The sequence below is a fragment of the Homo sapiens genome, chromosome X, assembly GCF_000001405.40.
Source record: "Homo sapiens chromosome X, GRCh38.p14 Primary Assembly".
Lineage (NCBI taxonomy): Eukaryota > Metazoa > Chordata > Mammalia > Primates > Hominidae > Homo > Homo sapiens.
The window spans coordinates 155,902,258-155,926,869 of NC_000023.11; the positions used below are offsets into that span (position 1 = coordinate 155,902,258).

The following is a 24,612-nucleotide window of genomic DNA, read 5'->3' on the forward strand; positions in this document are numbered from 1 at the left end:
GGGATTTTGGGCTGAGACAATGGGGTTTTCTAGATATACAATCATGTCATCTGCAAATAGGGACAATTTGACTTCCTCTTTTCCTAATTGAATACCCTTTATTTCCTTCTCCTGCCTGATTGCCCTGGCCAGAACTTCCAACACTATGTTGAATAGGAGTGGTGAGAGAGGGCATCCCTGTCTTGTGCCAGTTTTCAAAGGGAATGCTTCCAGTTTTTGCCCATTCAGTATGATATTGGCTGTGGGTTTGTCATAGATAGCTCTTATTATTTTGAGATACATCCCATCAATACCTAATTTATTGAGAGTTTTTAGCATGAAGGGTTGTTGAATTTTGTCAAAGGCCTTTTCTGCATCTATTGAGATAATCATGTGGTTTTTGTCTTTGGTTCCGTTTATATGCTGGATTACATTTATTGATTTGCGTATACTGAACCAGCCTTGCATCCCAGGGATGAAGCCCACTTGATCATGGTGGATAAGCTTTTTGATGTGCTGCTGGATTCGGTTTGCCAGTATTTTATTGAGGATTTTTGCATCAATGTTCATCAAGGATATTGGTCTAAAATTCTCTTTTTTGGTTGTGTCTCTGCCCGGCTTTGGTATCAGGATGATGCTGGCTTCATAAAATGAGTTAGGGAGGACTCCCTCTTTTTCTATTGATTGGAATAGTTTCAGAAGGAATGGTACCAGTTCCTCCTTGTACCTCTGGTAGAATTCTGCTGTGAATCCATCTGGTCCTGGACTCTTTTCGGTTGGTAAGCTATTGATTATTGCCACAATTTCAGAGCCTGTTATTGGTCTATTCAGAGATTCAACTTCTTCCTGGTTTAGTCTTGGGAGGGTGTATGTGTCGAGGAATTTATCCATTTCTTCTAGATTTTCTAGTTTATTTGCGTAGAGGTGTTTGTAGTATTCTCTGATTGTAGTTTGTATTTCTGTGGGATCGGTGGTGATATCCCCTTTATCATTTAGACCTAAAACCATAAAAACCGTAGAAGAAAACCTAGGCATTACCATTCAGGACATAGGCATGGGCAAGGACTTCATGTCTAAAACACCAAAAGCAATGGCAACAAAAGCCAAAATTGACAAATGCGATCTAATTAAACTAAAGAGCTTCTGCACAGCAAAAGAAACTACTATCAGAGTGAACAGACAACCTACAAAATAGGAGAAAATTTTCACAACCTACTCATCTGACAAAGAGCTAATATCCAGAATCTACAATGAACTCAAACAAATTTACAAGAAAAAAACAAACAACCCCATCAAAAAGTGGGCGAAGGACATGAACAGACACTTCTCAAAAGAAGACATTTATGCAGCCAAAAAACACATGAAAAAATGCTCACCATCACTGGCCATCAGAGAAATGCAAATCAAAACCACAATGTGATACCATCTCACACCAGTTAGAATGGCAGTCATTAAAAAGTCAGGAAACAACAGTTACTGGAGAGGATGTGGAGAAATAGGAACACTTTTACACAGTTGGTCGGACTGTAAACTAGTTCAACCCTTGTGGAAGTCAGTGTGGCGATTCCTCAGGGATCTAGAACTAGAAATACCATTTGACCCAGCCATCCCATTACTGGGTATATACCCAAGGACTATAAATCATGCCGCTATAAAGACACATGCACACGTATGTTTATAGCGGCAGTATTCACAATAGCAAAGACTTGGAACCAACCCAAATGTCCAACAATGATAGACTGGATTAAGAAAATGTGGCACATATACACCATGGAATACTATGCAGCCATAAAAAATGATGAGTTCATGTCCTTTGTAGGGACATGGATGAAATTGGAAATCCTCATTCTCAGTAAACTATCGCAAGAACAAAAAACCAAACACCGCATGTTCTCACTCATAGGTGAGAATTGAACAATGAGAACACATGGACACAGGAAGGGGAACATCACACTCTGGGGACTGTTGTGGGGTGGGGGGAGGGGGAAGGATAGCTTTAGGAGATATACCTAATGCTAAATGACGAGTTAATGGGTGCAGCACACCAGCATGGCACATGTATACATATGTAACAAACCTGCACATTGTGCACATGTACCCTAAAACTTAAAGTATAATAATAATAAAATAAAATAAAAAAAGCAAATTTAAAATGTGACAAGAACATTCCTAGTTAATTCCCTTTCATTTTTTTAACAGCTTAATTGAAATATAATTCACATATCATATAATTCACCCATTTAAAGTATACAGTCAGTGGTTACTATATTCACAGAATTGTACAACCATTGCTGCGATCAATTTTGTAACATTTTTATCATCCCTAAATGAAGCCCTGTACTCATTTGCAGTTGCTCCTCAACTCTCAGACCTAAGCAACAATTAATTCCCTTTTCTTCTTCATAAATTTGCCTATTCTGGACATTTCGTATAAATGGAATCTTGTAATATGTGGCCTTTTGTGTCTTCGTTCACTTAGCGTAATGATTGTGAGATTCATTCATGTCGTAGCATAAATCAATACTTAATTCTTTTTTATGACTAATAATTCCAATGCATTAATGCATTTTATGTATCTACTCATTAGTTCATGGTCTGGTTATTATAAATAATGCTGCTATGAACATTTGTGTACAAGTTTTTGTGTGAGCATATATATATATTATATATTATATATATATATATATGTTTTTGGTTCTCTTGCTTACATACCTAGGAATAGAATTGCTGGATCACATGGCAACTTTGTAACATTTTGAAGAAGGGCCAAACTTTCCTAAAGTGACTGCACCTTTATACATTCCTAATAGCAATGTATGAGGATTCTGATTCCTCCACATCCTTGCCAAAACTTATCTTTTTTGATTATACCCAGTCTAGTGAAATGGTACTTTATTGTGATTTTGATTTGCATTTCCCTGATGACTAATGATGTTGAGCATTTTTTCATGTGCTTATAGGCCATTCGTATATTTTCTTTACCTTTGGAGAAATGTCTATTTAAAAATACTTTATTGTTTTTAAGTGGGTTATTTGTCTTTTTATGGTTGAGCTATAACAGTACTTTATATATTCTGGATACTAGACCCTTATCAGATACATGATTTTCAAATATTTTGCTCTATTCTGTGAGTTGTCTTTTCATTTTCTTGATGGTGTTCTTTGAAGCACAACAGTTTTTATGAAGTCCAATTTATTTTTTTCTTTAGTTTGTGCTTTGAATAACATATCTAAGAAACTGTCGCCTAAGCCAAGATCATGAAGATTTACTACTTTGTTTTCTTCTAAGACTAGTTTTAGCTCTTACATTTCTATCTATGATCTATTTTGAGTTAATGTTTATGTATGGAATAAAGAAGAGATCCAACTTAATTCTGTTGAATATGTATATACAGTTGTTCCAGAACCATTTGCTGAAAAGGCTTTTCTTTCCCTGTTGAATGATCTTAGCATTCTTATCAAAAATTAGTTATCAATGGATGTATAGCTTTGTTTCTGGACCTTCAGTTCTGTTCAGTTTATCTTTATGCCAGTACCAGGCTGTCATGATTATTATAGCTTTGTAGTAGGTTTTAAAATCAGGAAATATTCATCTTCCAACTTTATTCTTTCTCAAAATTGCTTTGACTATTCTGGGTACCTTTCATTTTCATGAACTTTAGGATGAGCTTGTCAATTTCAGATAGCAAAAAAAGCTATCTGGGATTTTGATAGGGATTGTGTTGAATCTGTAGATCAATTAGGGAGCCATTTTAACAATATTAAACTTCTGATCCATGAACATGGGCTTTCTTTCTATTCATTTAGGTTTCTTTAATTTTTTCCAACAATGTTTTGTAGTTTTCAGTGTGCAAGTCTTACATGACAAAGACTCTGCTTCACCAAATTTTAGACAAGCTCCTCTGAGCACTCTGTTAAACTAGGTCTCATCCTCGGGCTCTGTCCTTGGCCTGCCTAAGGAAGTCTTAGCAAAGAATCCTGCTAATACCCCACCCTTGATCAAGTTCCTTGTCCCCTATATTTGTTATATAAGTCCGGCCAGCTTTTAGCAGGAATCCTGTTAGGCCAGTTTAGAGAGAATCCCCTTGCCCTTGATGCCTCCTCTTAGTAATTTTCCATCCTCTGACCCCCTCACTCTGTTCATTGGCCACAAATCCCCACTGGTCTTGGTTGTGTTAGGAGTTGAGCTCAATCTCTCCCCTCCATTGTGATAGCCTTGACCCCTATTGCAGTAATCTCAAAATCTGCCTTACCATTTTTTAACCAGTGTCAGAATAATTTTTCTTTAACAATATCTCTTCTAACATCCTTCTTGCCTTGTTCCTAAGTATTTTTTTATGCTATTGTAAATGGAATTTTTCTCTTTCATTTTCGGATTGTTCAGTACTAATGTATAGAAATTTTATTGATTTTTATAAATTGGTGTTGTATCATACAACCTTGTTCTCCTTTATTAGTTCTAATAGCTTTTTAATAGTTTCCTTAGGATTTTCTCTATATAGAATCATGCTACTTGCAAATAGAGATAGTTTTAATTCTTCCTTTTCAGTCTGGATGCTTTTCATTTCTTTTTATTGCTTATTTGCCCTAGCTAGAACCTCCAGTATAATGTTGAATAGAAGTGGTAAGAGTGGACATCATTGTCTTATTCCTGCTCTTAGGGAGATCTTGAAGAATCTTCCACAATTAAGTATGAGGTTAGCTGTGGGTTTTTCATAGATGTCCTTTATCAGGTTGAGGAAGTTTCTTTTTCTTATTTGTTGAGTGGTTTTATCATTAAACAGTGTTGGATTTTGTCAATTTTTTTTACATCTATTGAAATGATGGTTTTTGTTCTTTATTAATATGATGTATTATAACAATTGATTTTCAGATATTAAATCAACCTTGTGTTTCTGAAATGAATCCCACTGCATCATGGTGTATAGTCCTTTTTGCATATTATTGGATTCATCCTGCCAGTAGTCTGTTGAGGATTTGTTAAATGTCTGTATTTTTAAGAGTTGTTGGTATATCATTTTCTTTTATTTATTTATTTATTTTATTATTTTTTTTTATTGATCATTCTTGGGTGTTTCTCACAGACGGGGATTTGGCAGGGTCATGGGACAATAGTGGAGGGAAGATCAGCAGATAAACAAGTGAACAAAGGTCTCTGGTTTTCCTAGGCAGAGGACCCTGCGGCCTTCCACAGTGTTTGTGTCCCTGGGTACTTGAGATTAGGGAGTGGTGATGACTCTTAACGAGCATGCTGCCTTCAAGCATCTGTTTAACAAAGCACATCTTGCACCGCCCTTAATCCATTTAACCCTGAGTGGACACAGCACATGTTTCAGAGAGCACAGGGTTGGGGGTAAGGTCATAGATCAACAGGATCCCAAGGCAGAAGAATTTTTCTTAGTACAGAACAAAATGAAAAGTCTCCCATGTCTACTTCTTTCTTCACAGACACAGCAACCATCCGATTTCTCAATCTTTTCCCCACCTTTCCCCCTTTTCTATTCCACAAAACCGCCATTGTCATCATGGCCCGTTCTCAATGAGCTATTGGGTACACCTCCCAGACGGGGCGGCTGCTGGGCGGAGGGGCTCCTCACTTCGCAGACGGGGCGGCTGCCGGGTGGAGGGTCTCCTCACTTCTCAGACAGGGCGGCCGGGCAGCGACGCTCCTCACCTCCCAGAAGGGGCGGCGGGGCAGAGGCGCTCCCCACATCTCAGACGATGGGCGGCCGGGCAGAGACGCTCCTCACTTCCTAGATGGGATGGCGGCTGGGCAGAGACGCTCCTCACTTCCTAGATGGGATGGCGGCCGGGCAGAGACGCTCCTCACTTTCCAGACTGGGCAGCCAGGCAGAGGGGCTCCTCACATCCCAGACGATGGGTGCCCAGGCAGAGACGCTCCTCACTTCCCAGACGGGGTGGCGGCTGGGCAGAGGCTGCAATCTCGGCACTTTGGGAGGCCAAGGCAGGCGGCTGGGAGGTGGAGGTTGCAGCGAGCCGAGATCGCGCCACTGCACTCCAGCCTGGGCACCATTGAGCACTGAGTGAACGAGACTCCGTCTGCAATCCCGGCACCTCGGGAGGCCGAGGCTGGCGGATCACTCGCGGTTAGCAGCTGGAGACCAGCCCGGCCAACACAGCGAAACCCCGTCTCCACCAAAAAAATACGAAAACCAGTCAGGCGTGGCAGCACTCGGCAGGCTGAGGCAGGAGAATCAGGCAGGGAGGTTGCAGTGAGCCGAGATAGCAGTAGTACAGTCCAGCTTCGGCTGGGCATCAGAGGGAGACCGTGGAAAGAGAGGGAGAGGGAGACCGTGGGGAGAGTGAGAGGGGGAGGGGGAGAGGGAGAGGGAGAGCCATTTTCTTTTCTTGTGATGTCTTTGGTTTTGATACCAGGGTAATGCTGGGCTCATAGAATGAGTCAAGAAGTGTTCCCCTTTTCTTCTATTTTGGAAAGATTTGTGAAAGTTTTGTATTAATTCTTGAAATGTTTGGTAGAATTCACCTTTGAAGCCACCTGGGCTTGGGCTTTTCTTTGTGTGAAGCTTTTTTGTTTTTGTTTTTGTTTTTTGAGATGGGGTCTGTCTGTCACCCAGGCTGGAGTGCAGTGACATGATCCTCTCTAATTCCTCTTTCATTCCCTTGGTGGGAGGGTTACCTGCAGCCTTGACCTCCTGGGCTCAGGTAATCTTCCCACCTCAGCCTCCCAAGCAGCTGGGACTGCAGGCATGTGCCACCACACCTGGCTAATTTTTGTTTTTTGGTTTTTTTGTAGAGACAAGGTCTTGCCATGTTGCCCAGGCTAGTCTCAAACTCCTGGGCTCAAGCGATCCACTTGCCTCAGCCTACCAAAGTGCTAGGATTACAGGCATGAGCCTCCATGCCCGGCCTGAAGTTTTAAAATTACTGATTTAGTCTCTATGCTTGCTGTAGCTATTCAGATTTTTTATTTCTTCTTGAGTCTGTTTAGCAGTTTGTATCTTTCTAGGAATTTGTGCATTTCATCTAAGTTACCTAATTTATTTACACACTCCTGTTTATAGAATTCCCCTAAGATCCTCTTCATTTTGTAAGTTTGGTGGTGATGTCTCCTCTTTCATTTCTGATTTTAGTAATGTAAGTTTTTTCTGTTTTACTTGGTCATTCTACGTAAAGGTTTGTCAATTTTATTGATCTTTCTAAAGAACCAACTTCTGGTTTCATAGATTTTTTTTCTATAGTTTTTCTGTTCTCTATTTAATTTGTTCACCCTAATATTTATTTCCTTCCCACTGCTAGCTTTAGATTTAGTTTACCCTTCTTTTCTAGATCCATAAGGTAGAAAGTTAAGTTGTTAGGTTGTTAATTTGAGATCATTTGTCTTAGCTCAGGCTGCCATAACAAAATTCCATAGACGTAGTGACTTAAACAACAGAAATTTATTTTCTCACATTTCTGGAGGCTAGAAGTCCAAGATCACGGTGCCAGTATGGTCAGGTTCTGGTAAGGGCTCTCTTCCTGGCTTGCAGACAGCATCTTCTCTCTCTGTTCTCCCATCAGGCAAGGAAAAGAGAGCTAGCTGTCTAGTGTCTTTTATTTAATTGATACATAATATTTGTACACATTTATGGGGTACGTGTGATATTTTGTTACATGCAAAGACTGTGTAATGATCAAGTCAGGATATATGGGGTGTCCATCAGCTCAAGAATTTATTTCTGTGTGATGGGAACATTTCAAATTCTCTCTTCTAGCTATTTTGAAATATATAATACACTATTGTTAACTTTAGTCACCCTACTCTGCTATCAAACATTAGAACTTATTCCTTCTATCCAACTGTGTGTTTGTACCTATTAACCATCCTCTCATATTCCCTGCTCGGCCCCACATACCCACACCCTTCCTAGCCTCTGGTATCTATTGTGCTATTGTCTACCTCCATGAGATCAACTGTTTTAGTTCCCACATGTGAGTAAGAACATGTGATATTTGTCTTTCCATGCCTGCCTTATATCACTTAACATAATAACCTCCAGTTACATCCATGTTGCTGTAAATGGCATGACTTCATTCTATTTCATGGTCAAATAGTATTCCATTGTGTTTATAAACCACATTTTCTTTATCCATTCATCCATTCATGGACACTTAGGTTGACTCCATATCTTTGCTATTGTGAATAGGGATGCAATAAATATGCAAGTGCAGATATCCCGTCTATACACTGATTTCTTTTCCTTTGCATAAATACCCAGTAGTAGGATTGCTGGATCATATGGTAGTTTAATTTTTAGTTTTTGGGGAAATCTCCACACTGGTTTCCATAGTAGCTGCACTAGTTTACTTTCCCACCAACAGTGTGTAAGTGTTTTTTTTTTTTTTCCTTATACTAGCCAGCATCTGTTATTTTGTATCTTTTTAGTAACCATTCTAACTGGGGTAACATGATATCTCATTTTGGCTTTTATTTGCATTTCTATGATGTTGAGCATTTTTTCATATACCTTTTGGCCATTTGTATGTCTTCTTTTGAGAAATGGCTATTCATGTCCTCTGCCCACTTTTTAAGGGGATTATTTGTATATCTCCTGTTGAGTTCATTATATATTCTGGATATTATTCCCTTATCAAATGAATAGTTTGCAACTATTTTCTCCCATTCAACTGGTTGTCTCTTCACTCTTGATTATTTCCTTTGCTGTGCAAAAGCTTTTTTGTTTAATATAGTCCTATTTGTCTATTTTTCTTTTCGTTACCTGTCCTTTTGAGGTGTTAGCCATAAAATCTTTTCCTAGAGCAGTGTTCTGAAGTGTTTCCCCTATGTTTTCTTCTAGTAGGTTTATAGTTCTGGGTCTGAAATTTAAGTCTTTAATCTATCTTGGTTGATTTTTGTATGTGATGAGAGACAGAGGTCCAGTTTAATTCTTCCACATATGGATATCCAGTTTTCCCAATACCATTTATTGAAGAAAGTGTCCTTTCCCCAGTGTACGTCCTTGGCACCTTTGTTGAAAATCAGTTGCCTATATATGTGTGGCTGTACATACGTGGATCAATGTCTGGCTTTTCTATTCTATTCCATCGACCTTGTGTCTGTTTTTATACCAAACCATGCTGTTTTGGTTACTGTAGCCTTGTAATATGTTTTGAAGTCAGGTAGTGTGATGCCTCCAGCTTTGTTCATTTTGCTCAGGATTGCTTTGGCTATTTGGACTCTTTTTTGGTTCCTGAAATACTAATTTTAGGATTGTTTTTTCTGTTTCTGTGAAAAATGACATTGGTACTTCGATAGAGATTGCATTGAATCTGTAGATTGCTTTGGGCTTATGGTCATTTTAATAATATACATTCTTATGATCCATGACCATAAGATGTCTTTCTGTATCTTTGTGTCATCTTCAGTTTTTTTCATCAGTGTTTTGTAGTTTTACTTGTAGGAGTCTTTCACCTACTCGTTAAATTTATTCTTCAATATTTTATATGTTCATAACTATTATAAATGGGATTACCTTCTTGATTTCATAAAGTTTTATTTCACCAAGTTGATTATTGATGCATAGAAACATTACAGATATTTGTATGTTGATTCTGTATCCTGCAACTTTACTGAATATATTTATCAGATCTAGGAGTTTTTTGGTGGAGTCTTTGGGTCTTTTAGACATAAGATCATATCATCTGCAAAGAGGGATAATTTGACATCCTCTTTTTCAATTTGGATGCCCTTTATTTCTTTCTCTTGCCTGATTGCTCTGGCTAGGACTTCCAGTATTGTGTTGAATAGGAGTAGTGAAACTGGGCTTCCTTCCAGTACTATGTTGAATAGGAGTGGTGAGAGTTTTCCATTTCTTAGAGGAAAGGCTTTTCGTTTTTCCCATTCCGTATGATGTTAGCTGTGGGTTTGTCATAAATGGCCTTTATCATGTTGAGGGATATTCCTTCTATGCCTAGTTTTTTGAGAGTTTTTATCATGAAGAGATGTTGAATTTTTTTTGATACCTTGAACTATATATTTTTATTTGAATATATAAAAGTAGAATATCCTATTTTCCTTTTGAGCTATGTCATCATACTGCTAAAATTATGGATGAAAATGGAAATATTTCAACCTGACCCATTGCAATTTCTATGTTACACATTTGCTCTTTTTTTATTATTATACTTTAAATTCTGGGATACATGTGCAGAATGTGCAGCTTTGTTACATAGGTATACACATGCCATGGTGGTTTGCTGCACCCATTAACCCATCATCTACATTAGGTATTTCTCCTAATGCTATTTCTCCCCTAGCCCCCCTACCCCCAACAGGCCCCAGTGTGTGATGTTCCCCTCCCTGTGTCCATGTGTTCTCATTGTTCAACTCCCACTTATGAGTGAGAACACGTGGTGTTTGGTTTTCTGTTCCTTTCTTACCTTGCTGAGAATGATGGTTTCCAGCTTCATCCATGTCCCTGCAAAGGACATGAACTCCTCCTTTTTTATGGCTGCATAGTATTCCATCGTGTATATGTGCCACATTTTCTTTATCCAGTCTATCATTGTTGGGCATTTGGGTTGGTTCCAAGTCTTTGCTATTGTGAACAGTGCTGCAATAAACATACGTGTGCATGTGTCTTTATAGTAAAATGATTTATAATCCTTTGGGTATATACCCAATAATGGGATTGCTGGGTCAAATGGTATTTCTGGTTCTAGATCCTTGAGGAATCGCCACACTGTCTTTGACAATGGTTGAACTAATTTACACTTCCACCAACAGTGTAAAAGCATTCCTATTGCTCCACATCCTCTCCAGCATCTGTTCTTTCCTGACTTGTTAATGATTGCCATTTAATGGTCGCCATTCTTACTGGTGTGAGAGGATATCTCATTATGGTTTTGATTTGCATTTCTCTAATGACCCGTGATGATGAGCTTTTTTTTCATATGTTTATTGGCCACATAAATGTCTTCTTTTGAGAAGTGTCTTTTCATATCCTTCACACACTTTTTGATGGGGTTGTTTTTTTCTTGTAAATTTGTTTAAGTTCCTTGTAGATTCCGGATATTAGCCCTTTGTCAGATGGATAGATTGCAAAAATTTTTTCCCATTCTGTAGGTTGCCTGTTCACTCTGATGATAGTTTCTTTTGCTGTGCAGAAGCTCTTTGCTTTAATTAGATCCCATTTGTCAATTTTGGCTTTTGTTGCCATTGCTTTTGGTGTTTTAGTCATGAAATCTTTGCCCATACCTATGTCCTGAATGGTATTGCCCAGGTTTTCTTCTAGGGATTTTATGGTTTTAAGTCTTATGTTTAAGTCTTTAATCCATCTTGAGTTAATTTTTGTATAAGGTGTAAGGAAGGGGGCCAGTTTCAGTTTTCTGAATATGGCTAGCCAGTTTTCCCAACACCATTTATTAAATAGGGAATCCTTTCCCCATTGCTTGTTTTTGTCAGGTTTGTCAAAGATCAGATGGTTGTAGATGTGTAGCGTTATTTCTGAGGCCTCTGTTCTGTTCCATTGGTCTATGTATCTGTTTTGGTACCAATACCATGCTGTTTTGGTTACTGTAGCCTTGTAGTATAATTTGAAGTCAGGTAGCGTGATGTCTCCAGCTTTGTTCTTCTTGCTTAGGATTGTCTTGGCTATGTGGGCTCTTTTTTGGTTCCAAATGAAATTTAAAGTAGTGTTTTTCTAATTCTGTGAAGAAAGTCAATGGTAGCTGGATGGGGATAGCATTGAATCTATAAATTACTTTGGGCAGTTTGGCCATATTCTTCCTATCCATGAGCATGGAATGTTTTTCCATTCATTTGTGTCCTCTCTTATTTCCTTGAGCAGTGGTTTGTCATTCTCCTTGAAGAGGTCCTTCACATCCCCTGTAAGTTGTATTTCTAGGTATTTTATTCTCTTTGTAGCAATTGTGAATGGGAGTTCACTCATGATTTGGCTCTCTGTTTGTCTTTTATTGGTGTATAGGAATGCTTGTGATTTTTGCACATTGATTTTGCATTCTGATACTTTGCTGAAGTTGCTTATCAGCTTAAGGAGATTTTGGGCTGAGACAATGGGGTTTTCTAAATATACAATCATGTCATCTGCAAAGAGAGACAATTTGACTTCCTCTCTTCCTATTTGAATACCCTTTATTTCTTTCTCTTGCCTGATTGCCCTGGACAGAACTTCCAATACTATGTTGAATAGGAGTGGTGAGGGAGGGCATCCTTGTCTTGTGCTGGTTTTCAAAGGGAATACTTCCAGCTTTTGCCCATTCAGTATGATATTGGATGTGGGTTTGTCATAAATAGTTCTTATTATTTTGAGATGCATTCCATCAATACCTAGTTTATTGAGAGTTTTTAGCATAAAGCGGTGTTGAATTTTATCGAAGGCCTTTTCTGCATCTATTGAGATAATCATGTGGTTTTTGTCATTGGTTCTTTTTCTGTGATGGATTACGTTTATTGATTTGCGTATGTTGAACCAGTCTTGCATCCCAGTGATGAAGCTGACCTGATCGTGGTGGATAAGCTTTTTGATGTGCTGATGGGTTCGATTTGCCAGTATTTTATTGAGGATTTTCGCATCAGTGTTCATCAGGGATATTGGCCTGAAATTTTCCTTTTTGGTTGTGTCTCTGCCAGGCTTTGGTATCAGGATGATGCTGGCCTCATAAAATGAGTTAGGGAGGAGTCCCTCTTCTTCTGTTGTTTGGAATAGTTTCAGAAGGAATGGTACCAGCTCCTCTTTATACCTCTGGTGGAATTCAGCTGTGAATCCTTCTGGTCCTGGACCTTTTTTGTTTGGTAGGCTATTAATTACTGCCTCAAGTTCAGAACTTGTTATTGTTGTATTCAGGGATTTGACTTCTTCCTGGTTCAGTCTTGGGAGGGTGTATGTGTCCAGGAATTTATCCATTTCTTCCAGATTTTCTAGTTTACTTGCATAGAGGTGTTTATAGTATTCTCTGATGGTAGTTTGTATTTCTGTGGGATCAGTGGTGATACCCCCTTTATCATTTTTTATTGTTTCTATTTGATTCTTCTCTCTTTTCTCCTTTATTAGTCTCGCTAGCAGTCTATCAATTTTGTTAATCTTTTCAAAAAACCAGCTCCTGGATTCATTGATTCTTTTTGAAGGGTTTTTCATGTCTCTTTCTCCTTCAGTTCTGCTCTGATCTTAGTTATTTCTTGTCTTCTGCTACCTTTGAATTTGTTTGCTCTTGCTTCTCTAGTTCTTTTAATTGTGATGTTAGGGTGTTGACTTTAAATCTTTCCCACTTTTTGCTGTGGGCATTTAGTGCTATAAATTTCCCTCTAAATACTGCTTTAGCTGTGTCCCAGAGATTCTGGTACGTTGTGTCTTTATTCTCATTGGTTTCAAAAAACTTATTTATTTCTGCCTTAATTTTGTTATTTACCCAGTAGTCATTCAGGAACAGGTTGTTCATTTTCCATGTAGTTGTGCAGTTTTGAGTGAGTTTCTTAATCCTGAGTTCTAATTTGATGGCACTGTGGTCTGAGAGACTGTTGGTTACGATTTCCATTTTTTGCATTTGCTGAGGAGTGTTTTACTTCCAATTATGTGATCAACTTTAGAATAAGTGCAATGTGGTGCTGAGAAGAATGTATATTCTGTTGATTTGGCTTGGAGAGTACTGTAGATGTCTATTAGGTCCTCTTGGTCCAGAGCTGAGTTCAAGTCCTGAATATCCTTGTTAATATTCTGTCTCAATCTAATATTGACAGTGGGTGTTAAAGTCTCCTACTATTATTGTGTGGGAGTCTGAGTCTCTTTGTAGGTCTGTAAGAACTTGCTTTATGAATCTGGGTGCTCCTGTATTGGGTGCATATATATTTAGGATAGTTAGCTCTTCTTGTTGCATTGATCCCTTTACCATTATGTAATGCCCTTTTTTGTCTTTTTTGATCTTTGTTGGTTTAAAGTCTGTTTTATCAGAGACTAGGATTGCAGCCACTGCTTTTTTTTGCTTTCCATTTGCTTAGTAAATAATCCTCTATCCCTTTATTTTGAGCCTGTGTGTGTCTTTGCACATGAGATGGGTCTCCTGAATGCAGCACATGGGTGGGTCTTGATTCTTTATTCAATTTGCCAGTCTGTGTCTTTTATTTGGGGCATTTACCCCATTTACATTTAAGGTTAATATTGTTATGTGTGAATTTGATCCTGTGATTATAATGCTAGTTGGTTATTTTGCTTGTTAGTCGATATAGTTTCTTCATAGTGTTGATGGTCTTTACAGTTTGATATGTTTTTGCAGTGGCTGGTACTGGTTTTTCCTTTCCATATTTAGTGCTTCCTTCAGGACCTCTTGTAAGGCAGGCCTGGTGGTGACAAAATCTCTCAGCATTTGCATGTCTGTAAAGGATTTTATTTCTCCTTCACTTATAAAGCTTAGTTTGGTTGGATATGAAATTCTGGGTTGAAAATTCTTTTCTTTAAGAATGTTGAATATTCGCCCCCAGTCTCTTCTGGCTTGTAGGGTTTCTGTCGAGAGATCTGCTGTTAGTCTGATGGGCTTCCCTTTGTGGGTAGCCTGACCTTTCTCTCTGGCTGCCCTTAACATTTTTTCCTGCATTTCATCCTTGGTGAATCTGACGATTATGTGTCTTGGAGTTGCTCTTCTCGAGGAGTATCTTTGTGGTGTTCTCTGTATTTCCCAAATTTGAATGTTGACCTATCTTGCTAGGTTGGGGAAGTTCTCCTGGTTAATATCCTAAAGAATGTTTTCCAACTTGGTTCTGTTCTCCCTGTCACTTTCAAGCACACCAATCAAACATAGGTTTGGTCTTTTCATATAGTCCCATATGTCTTGGAGCCTTTGTTCATTCCTTTTCATTATTTTTTCTCTAATCTTGTCTTCACACTTTATTTCATTAAGTTGATCTACAATCTCTGATATCCTTTCTTCCACCTGATCAGTTCGGCTATTGATACTTTTGTATGCTTCACAAAGTTCTCGTGCCGTGTTTTTCAGTCCCATCAGGTCATTTATGTTCTTCTCTAAACTGGCTATTCTAGTTAGCAATTCCTCTAACCTTTTTTCAAGGTCCTTAGTTTCCTTGCATGGGGTTAGAACATTCTCCTTTAGCTTGGAGGAGTTTGTTATTATCCACCTTCTGAAGCCTGCTTCTGTCAATTTGTCAAACTCATTCTCCGTCCAGTTTGTTCTCTTGGAATTTTCAGCCTTTTTGCACTGGTTTTTCCTCATCTTCATGGATTTATCTACCTTTGGTCTTTGATGTTGGTGACCTTTGGATGGGGTTTCTATGTGGACATCCTTTTTGTTGATGTTGATGCTATTCCTTTCTGTTTGTTAGTTTTCCTTCTAACAGGCCTCTCTGCTGCAGGTCTGCTGGAGTTTGTTGGAGGTCCACTCCAGACCCAGTTTGCCTGGGTATCACCAGCGGAGGCTGCAGAACAGCAAAGATTGCTGCCTGTTCCTTCCTCTGGAAGCTTCGTCCCAGAGGGGCACCTGCCAGATGCCAGCCAGAGCTCTCCTGTATGAGATGTCTGTCGACTCCTGCTGGGAGGTATCTTCCAGTCAGGAGGCATGGAGCTCAGGGACCCACTTGAGGAGGCAGTCTATACTTTAGCAGAGCTTGAGCACTGTGCTGGGATTGCCGCTGCTCTCTTCCGAACTGGCAGGCAGGAACGTTTAAGTCTGCTGAAACTGAGTCCACAGCCACCCCTTCCCCCAGGTGCTCGGTCCCAAGGAGATGGGAGTTTTATCTATAAGCCTCTGGCTGGGGCTGCTGCCTTTCTTTCAGAGATGCGCTGCCCAGAGAGGAGGAATCTAGAGAGGCAGTCTGGCTACAGGGACTTTGCGGAGCTGCGGTGGGCTCTCCCCGGTTCAAACTTCCTGGCCACTCTGTTTACACAGTGAGGGGAAAACTGCCTACTCAAGCCTCAGTAATGGCAGACGCCCCTCCCTCCACCAAGCTCGAGTGTCCCAGGTCGACTTCAGACTGTTGTGCTGGCAATGAGAATTTCAAGCCAGTGGATCTTAGCCTGCTGGGCTCCGTGGGGGTGGAATATACTGAGCTAGACCACTTGCCTCCCTGGCTTCAGCCCCTTTCCAGGCGAGTGAACAGTTATGTCTCACTGGCATTCCAGGCGCCACTGGGGTATGAAAAAAAAACTCCTGCAGCTAGCTCGGTGTCTGCCCAAATGGCCGCCCAGTTTTGTGCTTGAAACCCAGGTCCCTGGTGGCATAGGCACCCAAGGGAATCTCCTGGTCTGCAGATTGCGAAGACTGTGGGAAAAGCATAGTATCTGGGCCAGAGTGCACCATTCCTCACGGCACGGTCCCTCAAGGCTTCCCTTGGTTAGGGGAGGGAGTTCCCCGACCCCTTGTGCTTCCTGGATGAGGCAACGCCCCACCCTGCTTCGGCTCACCCTCCGTGGGCTGCACCCACTGTCTAACCAGTCCCAATGAGATGAGCCGGGTACCTCAGTTGGAAATGCAGAAATTACCCACCTTCTGCATTGATTTCACTGGGAGCTGCAGACCAGAGCTGTTCCTATTCGGTCATCTTGCCAACCACCCTGAGATGTTGAATTTTATCAAATGCTTTTTTTATCAGATGCTTTCTCTGCATCTATTAAGGTGATCATGTGGCTTTTATTCTCTATTCTATTGATGGAATGTTTCATGTTTATTGATTTGCATGCATTGAATCATCATTGCATCCCTGGGATAAATCCCACTTGATCATGGTGTATTATCTTTTTGATGTGATGTTTGATTTGGTTTGCTAGTATTTCGTTGAGGATTTTTGCATCTGTGATCATCAGGGTTGTTGGCCTGCAGTTTTGTTTTTTTGTTGAGTCCTTATCAGGTTTTGGTATCAGGGTAATGCTGGCCTTATAGAATGAGTAGGGAGAATTCCCTCCTCTTGAATTTTTTGGCATAGTTTGAGAAGTGATATTAGTTCTTCTCTGTAAGTTTCATGGAGTTCTCCAGTGAAGCCAGCTGATTCTGGGCATTGTTTTGGTTTTGTTGGGAGACTTTATTACTGATTATACTTTATTACTGATTCAATCCCATTACTCATTACTGGCTTGTTCAGGTTTTCTATTTCTTTCTGATTCAGTCTTGGTAGGTTGCATGTGTCCTGGGATTTATCCATTTCTTCTGGGTTTTCAAGTTTATTAGCATATAGTTGTTAATAGTATTTCTATGGTCACTTCTTCCAATTTTTAGATTTGCTTTAATATGCAAGGACTTTTTCTTGAGGATATATCTATGGTGTTGGTTGGGCAGGGCACTTAGACTTTGATTATGGGTACATTCAGTAGTGTAGTCTGTATAATTTCTTCAGCTATAAACAGCATCATCAACCATGTCTGTATTTTTCTTAGTGGCTTAGGGTGTAGTTGTTATGGAGGCTGTGGTGAAGTTTTGATGGGCATGGGGATTTCAGGTGGGCTAGTCCTTGTTTTCGAGTGGTGTCACCAGTGGGTGAAGCATGCCTGTCCTTTGGCCCCAGGACAGTGTATTCATTAAGTTATATTACTTTTTTAAAAAAAGTTTATTTTATTCTACAATGGAAAACTTGACCTTTTCTACTTTTCCAATATTTTCAGATCTGGTAGCTCAGCGAGGAGAAAGATTGGAATTATTGATTGACAAAACAGAAAATCTTGTGGATTCTGTAAGTATGGAATCTGATAATATGGAGTCTGATGTAAAGTGGAGAAACTATGGATGATGGCTAACATAATTGGGAAATACCTTAAATTCAAATATTTGGTGGTTTTTTTTTCTTTCTCATTTCCATTATGTGATTACTTTGTAATAATGAGGATAACAATGAGGCATAGAAAAGAAACATCATCCCCTAATAGCCATTAAGGTAGCTTTGGTTTGGAAAACATACTCAGTATACAGAAACAATTTTCTAAAGCTTTGGATTGAGGCCTATATAATTTAGCACCTCAACTGCATGTAACAGTCTGTTCCCTTTACAAATTTGTAAAACATGAAACAAATGTGCAAGCCGTTTGTGACCCAGTATGAATCTTGAAAACTGGACAATTCACTTTTTTGCTTACACTGATAGTTTCATCTTGCCTTGTATCAATCAAGAGACATCGATTGGAAAGCGCCAATAAGCCTTAAAGGAGACAATGTGTCCTTGTGAGCTGCTTATACTATGGTTCCGTATGTCCTCACATTTTCAATGCAGTTACTGTGGATGAAAGTTTTAAGGAAAGATGACAGATATATGGTGAACAGAAGGAGGGCAGAGATCAGCTACAATTTGGGTCTACACAATTATAAATGTAAATGTACAGTGCAGGTTTACACCTTGAAAGAAAACAGTGATTGATTATGTTCGTTGTGACTGACAGCTGGATTGTAGTGGTTAAGAACACAGGCTCTAGTATCAGGTTGCCTGGATTTGAATCCCACCTCTGCTACTTACTAGTTGTGTGACCTTAGGCAAATGACTTAACCTCTTTGTGCCTCAGTCATCATCTTCTGTAAAATGAAGATGTACCCACTTCAGAGCATTTTAAGGATTAAATCAGATAATGCATGTAAAGTGCCTAACACAGTATTTGATACATAGTAAGAGCTATTTAAATGTTCATCATTATTGTTAATTTTACAGGGACATCTATTAGCAGCAGGTTTTAGTATATACAGTCTACTATCAGGTTTTCTAGGAGTTTATAAACAGTTTTTTCATCAAAGCATGTGGTAGGTGGAGGAAGGATGCTACCATACAGGAAGTCAAAACACCTGGGTTCTAGATCTCACTTTGTGACCCATTGCTGGGGAGCAAAGAAAACAGAGAAGTATCTGATTCCAGATCTGCAGACCAATTTCTTTGATACTTCCAGGCTGTCTCTTAGTTATTCTTAATTCTTGAGGATTACCCTGCTTAGGGGGAATGGTCTGTCTTTGACCAATAGTAGTATGATCTGTACTTTACAAATAAAAGTCTTAATTTTGTTGACTTCATGACTGAAAACAGAAGGTACTAATGAACTAACAGGTATCTCTCTTTATGGTAGAATAACATACGTGCAGCAAATTGTATCAAGTGTACAACTTTTAAGTGTATAGCTCAATTATTTTTTATATATATCTATACCCATGTAACCACCACCCAGATCTAGATAGAAAACATTACCAACACCCCAGAAGGCTGCCTCATACCCCTTCCAGTTAATAATCCCCAATAGACGTAATTATGTTTCTGACTTATATCACCACAGATAGTGTTTTGCCTGTTCTTAAAATTTATTTGTGTCTGGCCTCTTTCACTCACTGTTATGCCTGTGAAATTCATCCACGTTTTTTATTATAGTAATCACTTATTCTTTTTTATTGTTTTATATTATTCCATTATACAAATCTACCACAATTTGTTTATCCGTTCTTCTCTGTGGGGCTTTATTTCTGGATTCTCTATTTTGTTCCATTGGTCAGTTTGTCTACCTTTATGCCAGTACCACACTGTGTTGATTAGTATAACTTAATAGAATTCTTGAAATTAAGTAGTGTAAGTCTTCCAACTATATTCTTGTTGTCCAATATTGTCTTCACTCTTTTAGGTGCTTTGCATTTCCATATATGTTTTAGAATAAGCTTGTTTTCCATCTCTTGACCCCACAACAATGTGTATCTTTGTGACTGCATTTAATATATAGGTCACTTTAGGGGACATTGGTATCTTGACAGTATAGAGTTTTTCGGTCCATGAACGTGACATATCTCTGCTTTTGCTTAGGATTTAAAAATTTTTCTCAGCAGTATTTTTTAGTTTTTGGTGTACAGGTCTTGCACATATTTGTTAAATTTACCCTTGAGAATATCATGCTTTTGTATTGTGTAACAAATTTTTAAATTTTGTTTCTAATTCTTTATTGCTAGTATATGGAAATAAAGTTGGTTATTGTATATTGACCTTGTTTGTATTCTGCAACCTTAGAAAAATTCATTTACCAGTTCTGGTTACTGTTTTGTACATTCCTGCCTTTTATTTTCCTTCCCTTATTCTGGCTAGAACCTTCTACACAATACTGAATACAAGTGATAACAGTGAACATCCTTGCCTATTGACCATCTTGTGGGGAAAAATTCAATACTTTTTGAAAAAAATAAATTCAGTGTTAAGTTTGTGGTTAACTGTAGATTTTTTGTAGGTACCCTTTAATAGGTGGAAGAATTCCCTTTAATTCCTCATTTGAGAGTTGTATTCATGATTTTATCAAATGCTTTTTCTCCATTTATTGAGATCTTTGGTTTTTCTCCTTTATTCAGTTAGTATGGCAAATTACATTGATTTTTCAGTGTTAAACCAACTTTGCATTCCTGCAAGGTCATGACTTACTACCCTTCTTATATAACACTTTATTGGATTTGCTATTGTTTTGTTCAGGAATTTGGCATCTATGTTTATAAGAGATAGTGGTCTGTAATTTATTTTTCTCTTTAGGTTTTGGTATCAGGAATATGCTGGCCTCATTAAACAAGTTGGGAAATCTTACCTCTCTATCTTCTGAGTTTGGGTACTATTGGTATTATCTGTCTTAGATGTTTGGAAGAATTTACTAGTAAAGCAGATTGGGCCTCGAGTTTTCTTCGTTGGAAAATTTAAAATCTGCCATCTTGCTGTTTGTTTCCTATTTATACCATCTAGTCTTTGTTCCCTTTTTGTTCTGCCTTCCATTGGATTTAGTACATTTGTTATTCCATTATGTCTCCTTTGTCAGTTTATTAGCTATAGCTCCATTCTGTCATTTTCTGATTGCTTTAGGGTTTACAGTATGTCTTTGATTTATAATCTCCCTTAAAGTGGCATTTTTCCACTTCATGAATAGATAAGAACCTTATAATAGTATACTTCTAGCTGTTTCTTCTTGGCCTTTATGCTATTGTTGACATATTTTTATTTACACATGTATTAAAAACTTCATAATACATTGTTGTTGTTTTTGTTTAAAGAGTTGATTATCTTTTAAAGAGATTTAAATAATAAGGGAAGTCTTTTCTGTTTACCCATGCAGCTACCATTTCAGTGCTCTTAATTCTTTTGTGTAGGCCGAGTTTCTATCTGATGTTATTTTCTTTCTGCCTGTATGCTTTAATTTAACATATAATCTTCCATTGTAGTTCAAGTGTGTAGGTCTACTGGAAATGAATTCTTTCAGGTTTGGTATGTCTGAGAAGTTTTTATTTCACTTCCTTTTTTTTTTTGAAAGACATTTTCACTGAGTATAGAATTCTAGGTCAGTGATTTTTCTTTCTTTTAATACTTGATGAACGGTGGTTCATCACTGTCTTTTACATTGTTTCTGACAAGAATTCTGCTGTCATTCTTACATACATAAAGTGTATTTTTTTTTCTTCTGGATGCTTTAAAGATTTTCTCTTTATCATTGGTTTTAAGAAATTTGATTATAATATATATGCCTTGGTATATATTTCTTTATGTTTCTTTGGCTTTGAGTTTGTTGTAGTTTTCATCAAATTATGAAAATGTTTAGCTCTTTCTAGGCTTCCAGTGACATCTGTATTAAGCCACTTGAAGCTGTCCCACAACTCACTGATGCTTTGTTCATTTTTAAGTCTTTTTTCCACTATGTTTCATTTAGAATAGTTTCTATTGCTATGTCTTCAAGTTTACTTACCTTTTCTTCTGCAGTTCGCAATCTGCTGTTTCTGTCCTGTGTATGTTTCATCTTTACAGGTTTGTTTTGGATCTTTTTTATATCTTCCATGTGTCTCCTTAACATGTGCATACTTTCCTCTACCTTGAGTATATGAAGTATATTTATAATTGAAGTGCTTATTCCACTTACATGTAATGCAAATTTTGATAGAGTTAGGTGTAGGTATCTTGCTCTTTGTTTTTTATTTGCCGCATCCCTGTCCTCTTCTTTTTTATTTTGATTACTCAAGTACTTTTTAAATTGTTTTTTAACCATCTCTATTTGTTTTTTAACACTTCTATTGAGAGATAACTCACAGACCATACAAATTGCCCATTTAAAGGGTACACTTCAGTGGAATTTAGTATATTACATTATTAAAATTGTGGTAAAATATGTATAGCATAAAATTTTGCCATTTTAACCTTTTTAAAGTGCACAATTCAGTGATGTTAATTACATCCACAATGTTGTGCATCCATCACTACTAGCTATTTCCAAAACTTTTTTATCACCCCTTAACAAAAACTCTGTAACCATTAAGTAATAATAACTCCCCATTCCCCTTACTCTCAGCCCCTGGTAACTCTAATCTACTTTCTGTCTCTGAATTTGCCTGTTCTAGATATGTCATATAAGTGGGATCATACAAAATTTGCCCTTTTGTGTCTGGCTTATTTCACTAAGCATAATAGTTTATTGCTTAAAAAAAAATGCTAACAATCACCTGAGCCTTCAGTGAGCCTTAATCTTTTTGCTGGTGGAGGGTCTCACCTTGATGTTGATGGCTACTGACTGATCGATCAGGCTGGTGGTTGCTGAAGGTTGTGGTGGCTGTGGCAATTTCTTAAAATAAGACAACAGTGAAGTTTACCACATTGATTGACTCTTTCACAAAAGATTTCTCTGTAGCATGTGTTGCTATTTGATAGCAATTTACTGGCAATAGAACTTCTTTCAAAATTGGAGTCAATCCTCTCAAACCCTGCTACTGCTTTATCAGCTGAGTTGATGTAATTTTCTAAATCTTTTGTTGTCATTTCAACAGTGTTCACAGCATCTTCACCAGGAATAGTTGCCATCTCAAGAAACCACTTTCCTTGCCCATGCATAAGAAACAACTCCTCATTCATTAAAGTTTTATCAAGAAACTGCAGCAGTTCAGTCATGTCTTCAGGCTCCAGTTCTAATTCTAGTTCTCTTCTATTTCTACCACATCTGCAGTTACTCACTCCACTGAAGTCTTGAACCCCTCAAAGTAATTTGTGAGGGTTGTAATCAGTTTCTTCCAAACACCTGTTAATGTTTATATTTTGACTTCCTCCCACGAATCATGAATGTTCTTAATGGCATCTAGAATGGTGAATCCTTTCTAGAAGGTCTTCAGTTTACTTTGCCCAGATCCATCAGAGGAATCATTATCTATGGCAGCTATACTAAATGTTTTTCTTAAATAATAAGACTTGAAAGTTGAAATCACTCCTTGATTCATGGGCAGCAGAATGGATGTTGTATTAGCAGGTGTGAACCCCAAAAGTCTGAGACAGGTCTCAGTTGATTTAGAAAGTTTATTTTGCCAAAGTTGAGAGCGCACACCCGTGACACAGCCTCAGGAGGTCCTGACAACATGTGCCCAAGGTGGTCAAAGCCCAGTTTGGTTTTATACATTCTAGGGAGACGTGAGACATCAGTCAACATATGCAAGATGAACATTGGTTTGGCCTGGAAAGGCGGAACAACTCGAAGCAAAGGCGGGAAGGCTCGAAGTGGGGAGGGGGCCTCCAGGTCTTAGATAGATAAGAGACAAATGGTTCTATTCTTTTGAGTTTCTGATGAGCCTCTCCAAAGGAGGCAATCAGATACGCATTTATCTCAGTGAGCAGAGGGGTGACTTTGAATAGAATGGGAGGCAGGTTGGCCATAAGCAGTTCCCAGCTTGACTTTTCCCTTTAGCTTAGTGATTTGGAGGCCCCAAGATTTATTTTCCTTTCACACAGGCATGAAAACGACATTTATCTCCTCGTAAGTCTCCATCAGAGCTCTTGAGTGACTAGGTTCATTGTCAATGAGCAGTAATACTTTGAAAGGAATCTTTTCTTTTTGAGCAGCAGATCTCCACAGATCTTCTGTACACCATCCTGTAAACAGATGTGCTATCTTCCAGGTTTGTTGTTCCATTTCAAGAGCACAGGCAGAGTATATTTAGCATAATTCTTACGGGCCCTAGATTTTCAGAATGGTAAATTACCATTGGCTTCAGCTTAAAGTCATCAGCTGCATTGGTCCCTAATAAAAGTCAGCTTATCCTTTGAAGCTTTGAAGCCAGTCATTGGCTTCTCTCTATGAAAGTCCTAGATGGCATCTTCTTCCAAAAGAAGGGTGTTTTGTTTACATTGAAAAATCTGTTGTTTAGTATAGCCACCTTTATCAATGATCTTAGCTAGGTCTCCTGGATAACTTACTGTGGCTTCTCTCTCAGCACTTGCTGCTTCACCTTGTACTTTTATGTTATAGAGATGGCTTCTTTCCTTAAACCTCATGAACCAACTTCTGCTAGCTTTAAACTTTTCTTCTGCACCTTCCTCGCCTCTCTCAGCCTTCATAGAGTTGAAGAGTTAGGGCCTTGCTCTGTATTAGGCTTTGGCCTAAGGAAATGTTATAGCTGGTTTAATCTTCTATCCAGACCCCTAAAACATTCTCCATATCAGCAGTAAGTCTGTTTTGCTTTCTTATATGTGTGTTCACTGGAGTAGCACTCCTGATTTCCTTCAAGAACTGTTCTTTGCATTCACAATTTGGTTAACTGTTTGTCACAGGACACCTAGCTTTAGGCCCATCTCAGCTTTCGACATGCCTTACTCACTAAGCTTAATTATTTTTATCTTTTGATTTAAAGCAAGGGATGTGTGACTTTTCCTTTCACTTGAATACATAGATGCCATTGTAAGGTTATTAATTGGCCAAATTTCAATATTGT

The 24,612-nt window shown here is 38.5% G+C and overlaps 1 protein-coding gene across 7 annotated transcripts in view, besides 1 other annotated feature; it reads left to right on the plus strand.

Moving 5' to 3' along the window:
* Positions 1–24,612, plus strand: part of VAMP7 (vesicle associated membrane protein 7) — a 62,425-nt gene that overhangs the window by 20,913 nt on the left and 16,900 nt on the right. For 5 of the 7 annotated variants that reach the window (NR_033714.2, NR_033715.2, XM_017029760.2 and 2 more), the window contains one exon: positions 17,556–17,623. The exons of the other annotated variants lie outside the window; for them this stretch is intronic. Coding sequence is in view for 3 of the 5 variants with exons in the window: in XM_017029760.2 (XP_016885249.1) it covers positions 17,556–17,623 (68 nt within the window). In the remaining 2 variants the exon portion in view is untranslated. The remainder of the gene's footprint in view (positions 1–17,555; positions 17,624–24,612) is intronic. 7 annotated transcript variants of the gene reach the window in all.
* Positions 5,557–6,108: an enhancer, noted in NCBI's record as "H3K27ac hESC enhancer chrX:155137478-155138029 (GRCh37/hg19 assembly coordinates)". NCBI's record gives its function as "activates a minimal SCP1, AML or CMV promoter by ChIP-STARR-seq in primed H9 embryonic stem cells {active_cell/tissue: H9 hESC(primed)}" and the evidence as "EXISTENCE:reporter gene assay evidence [ECO:0000049][PMID:30033119]".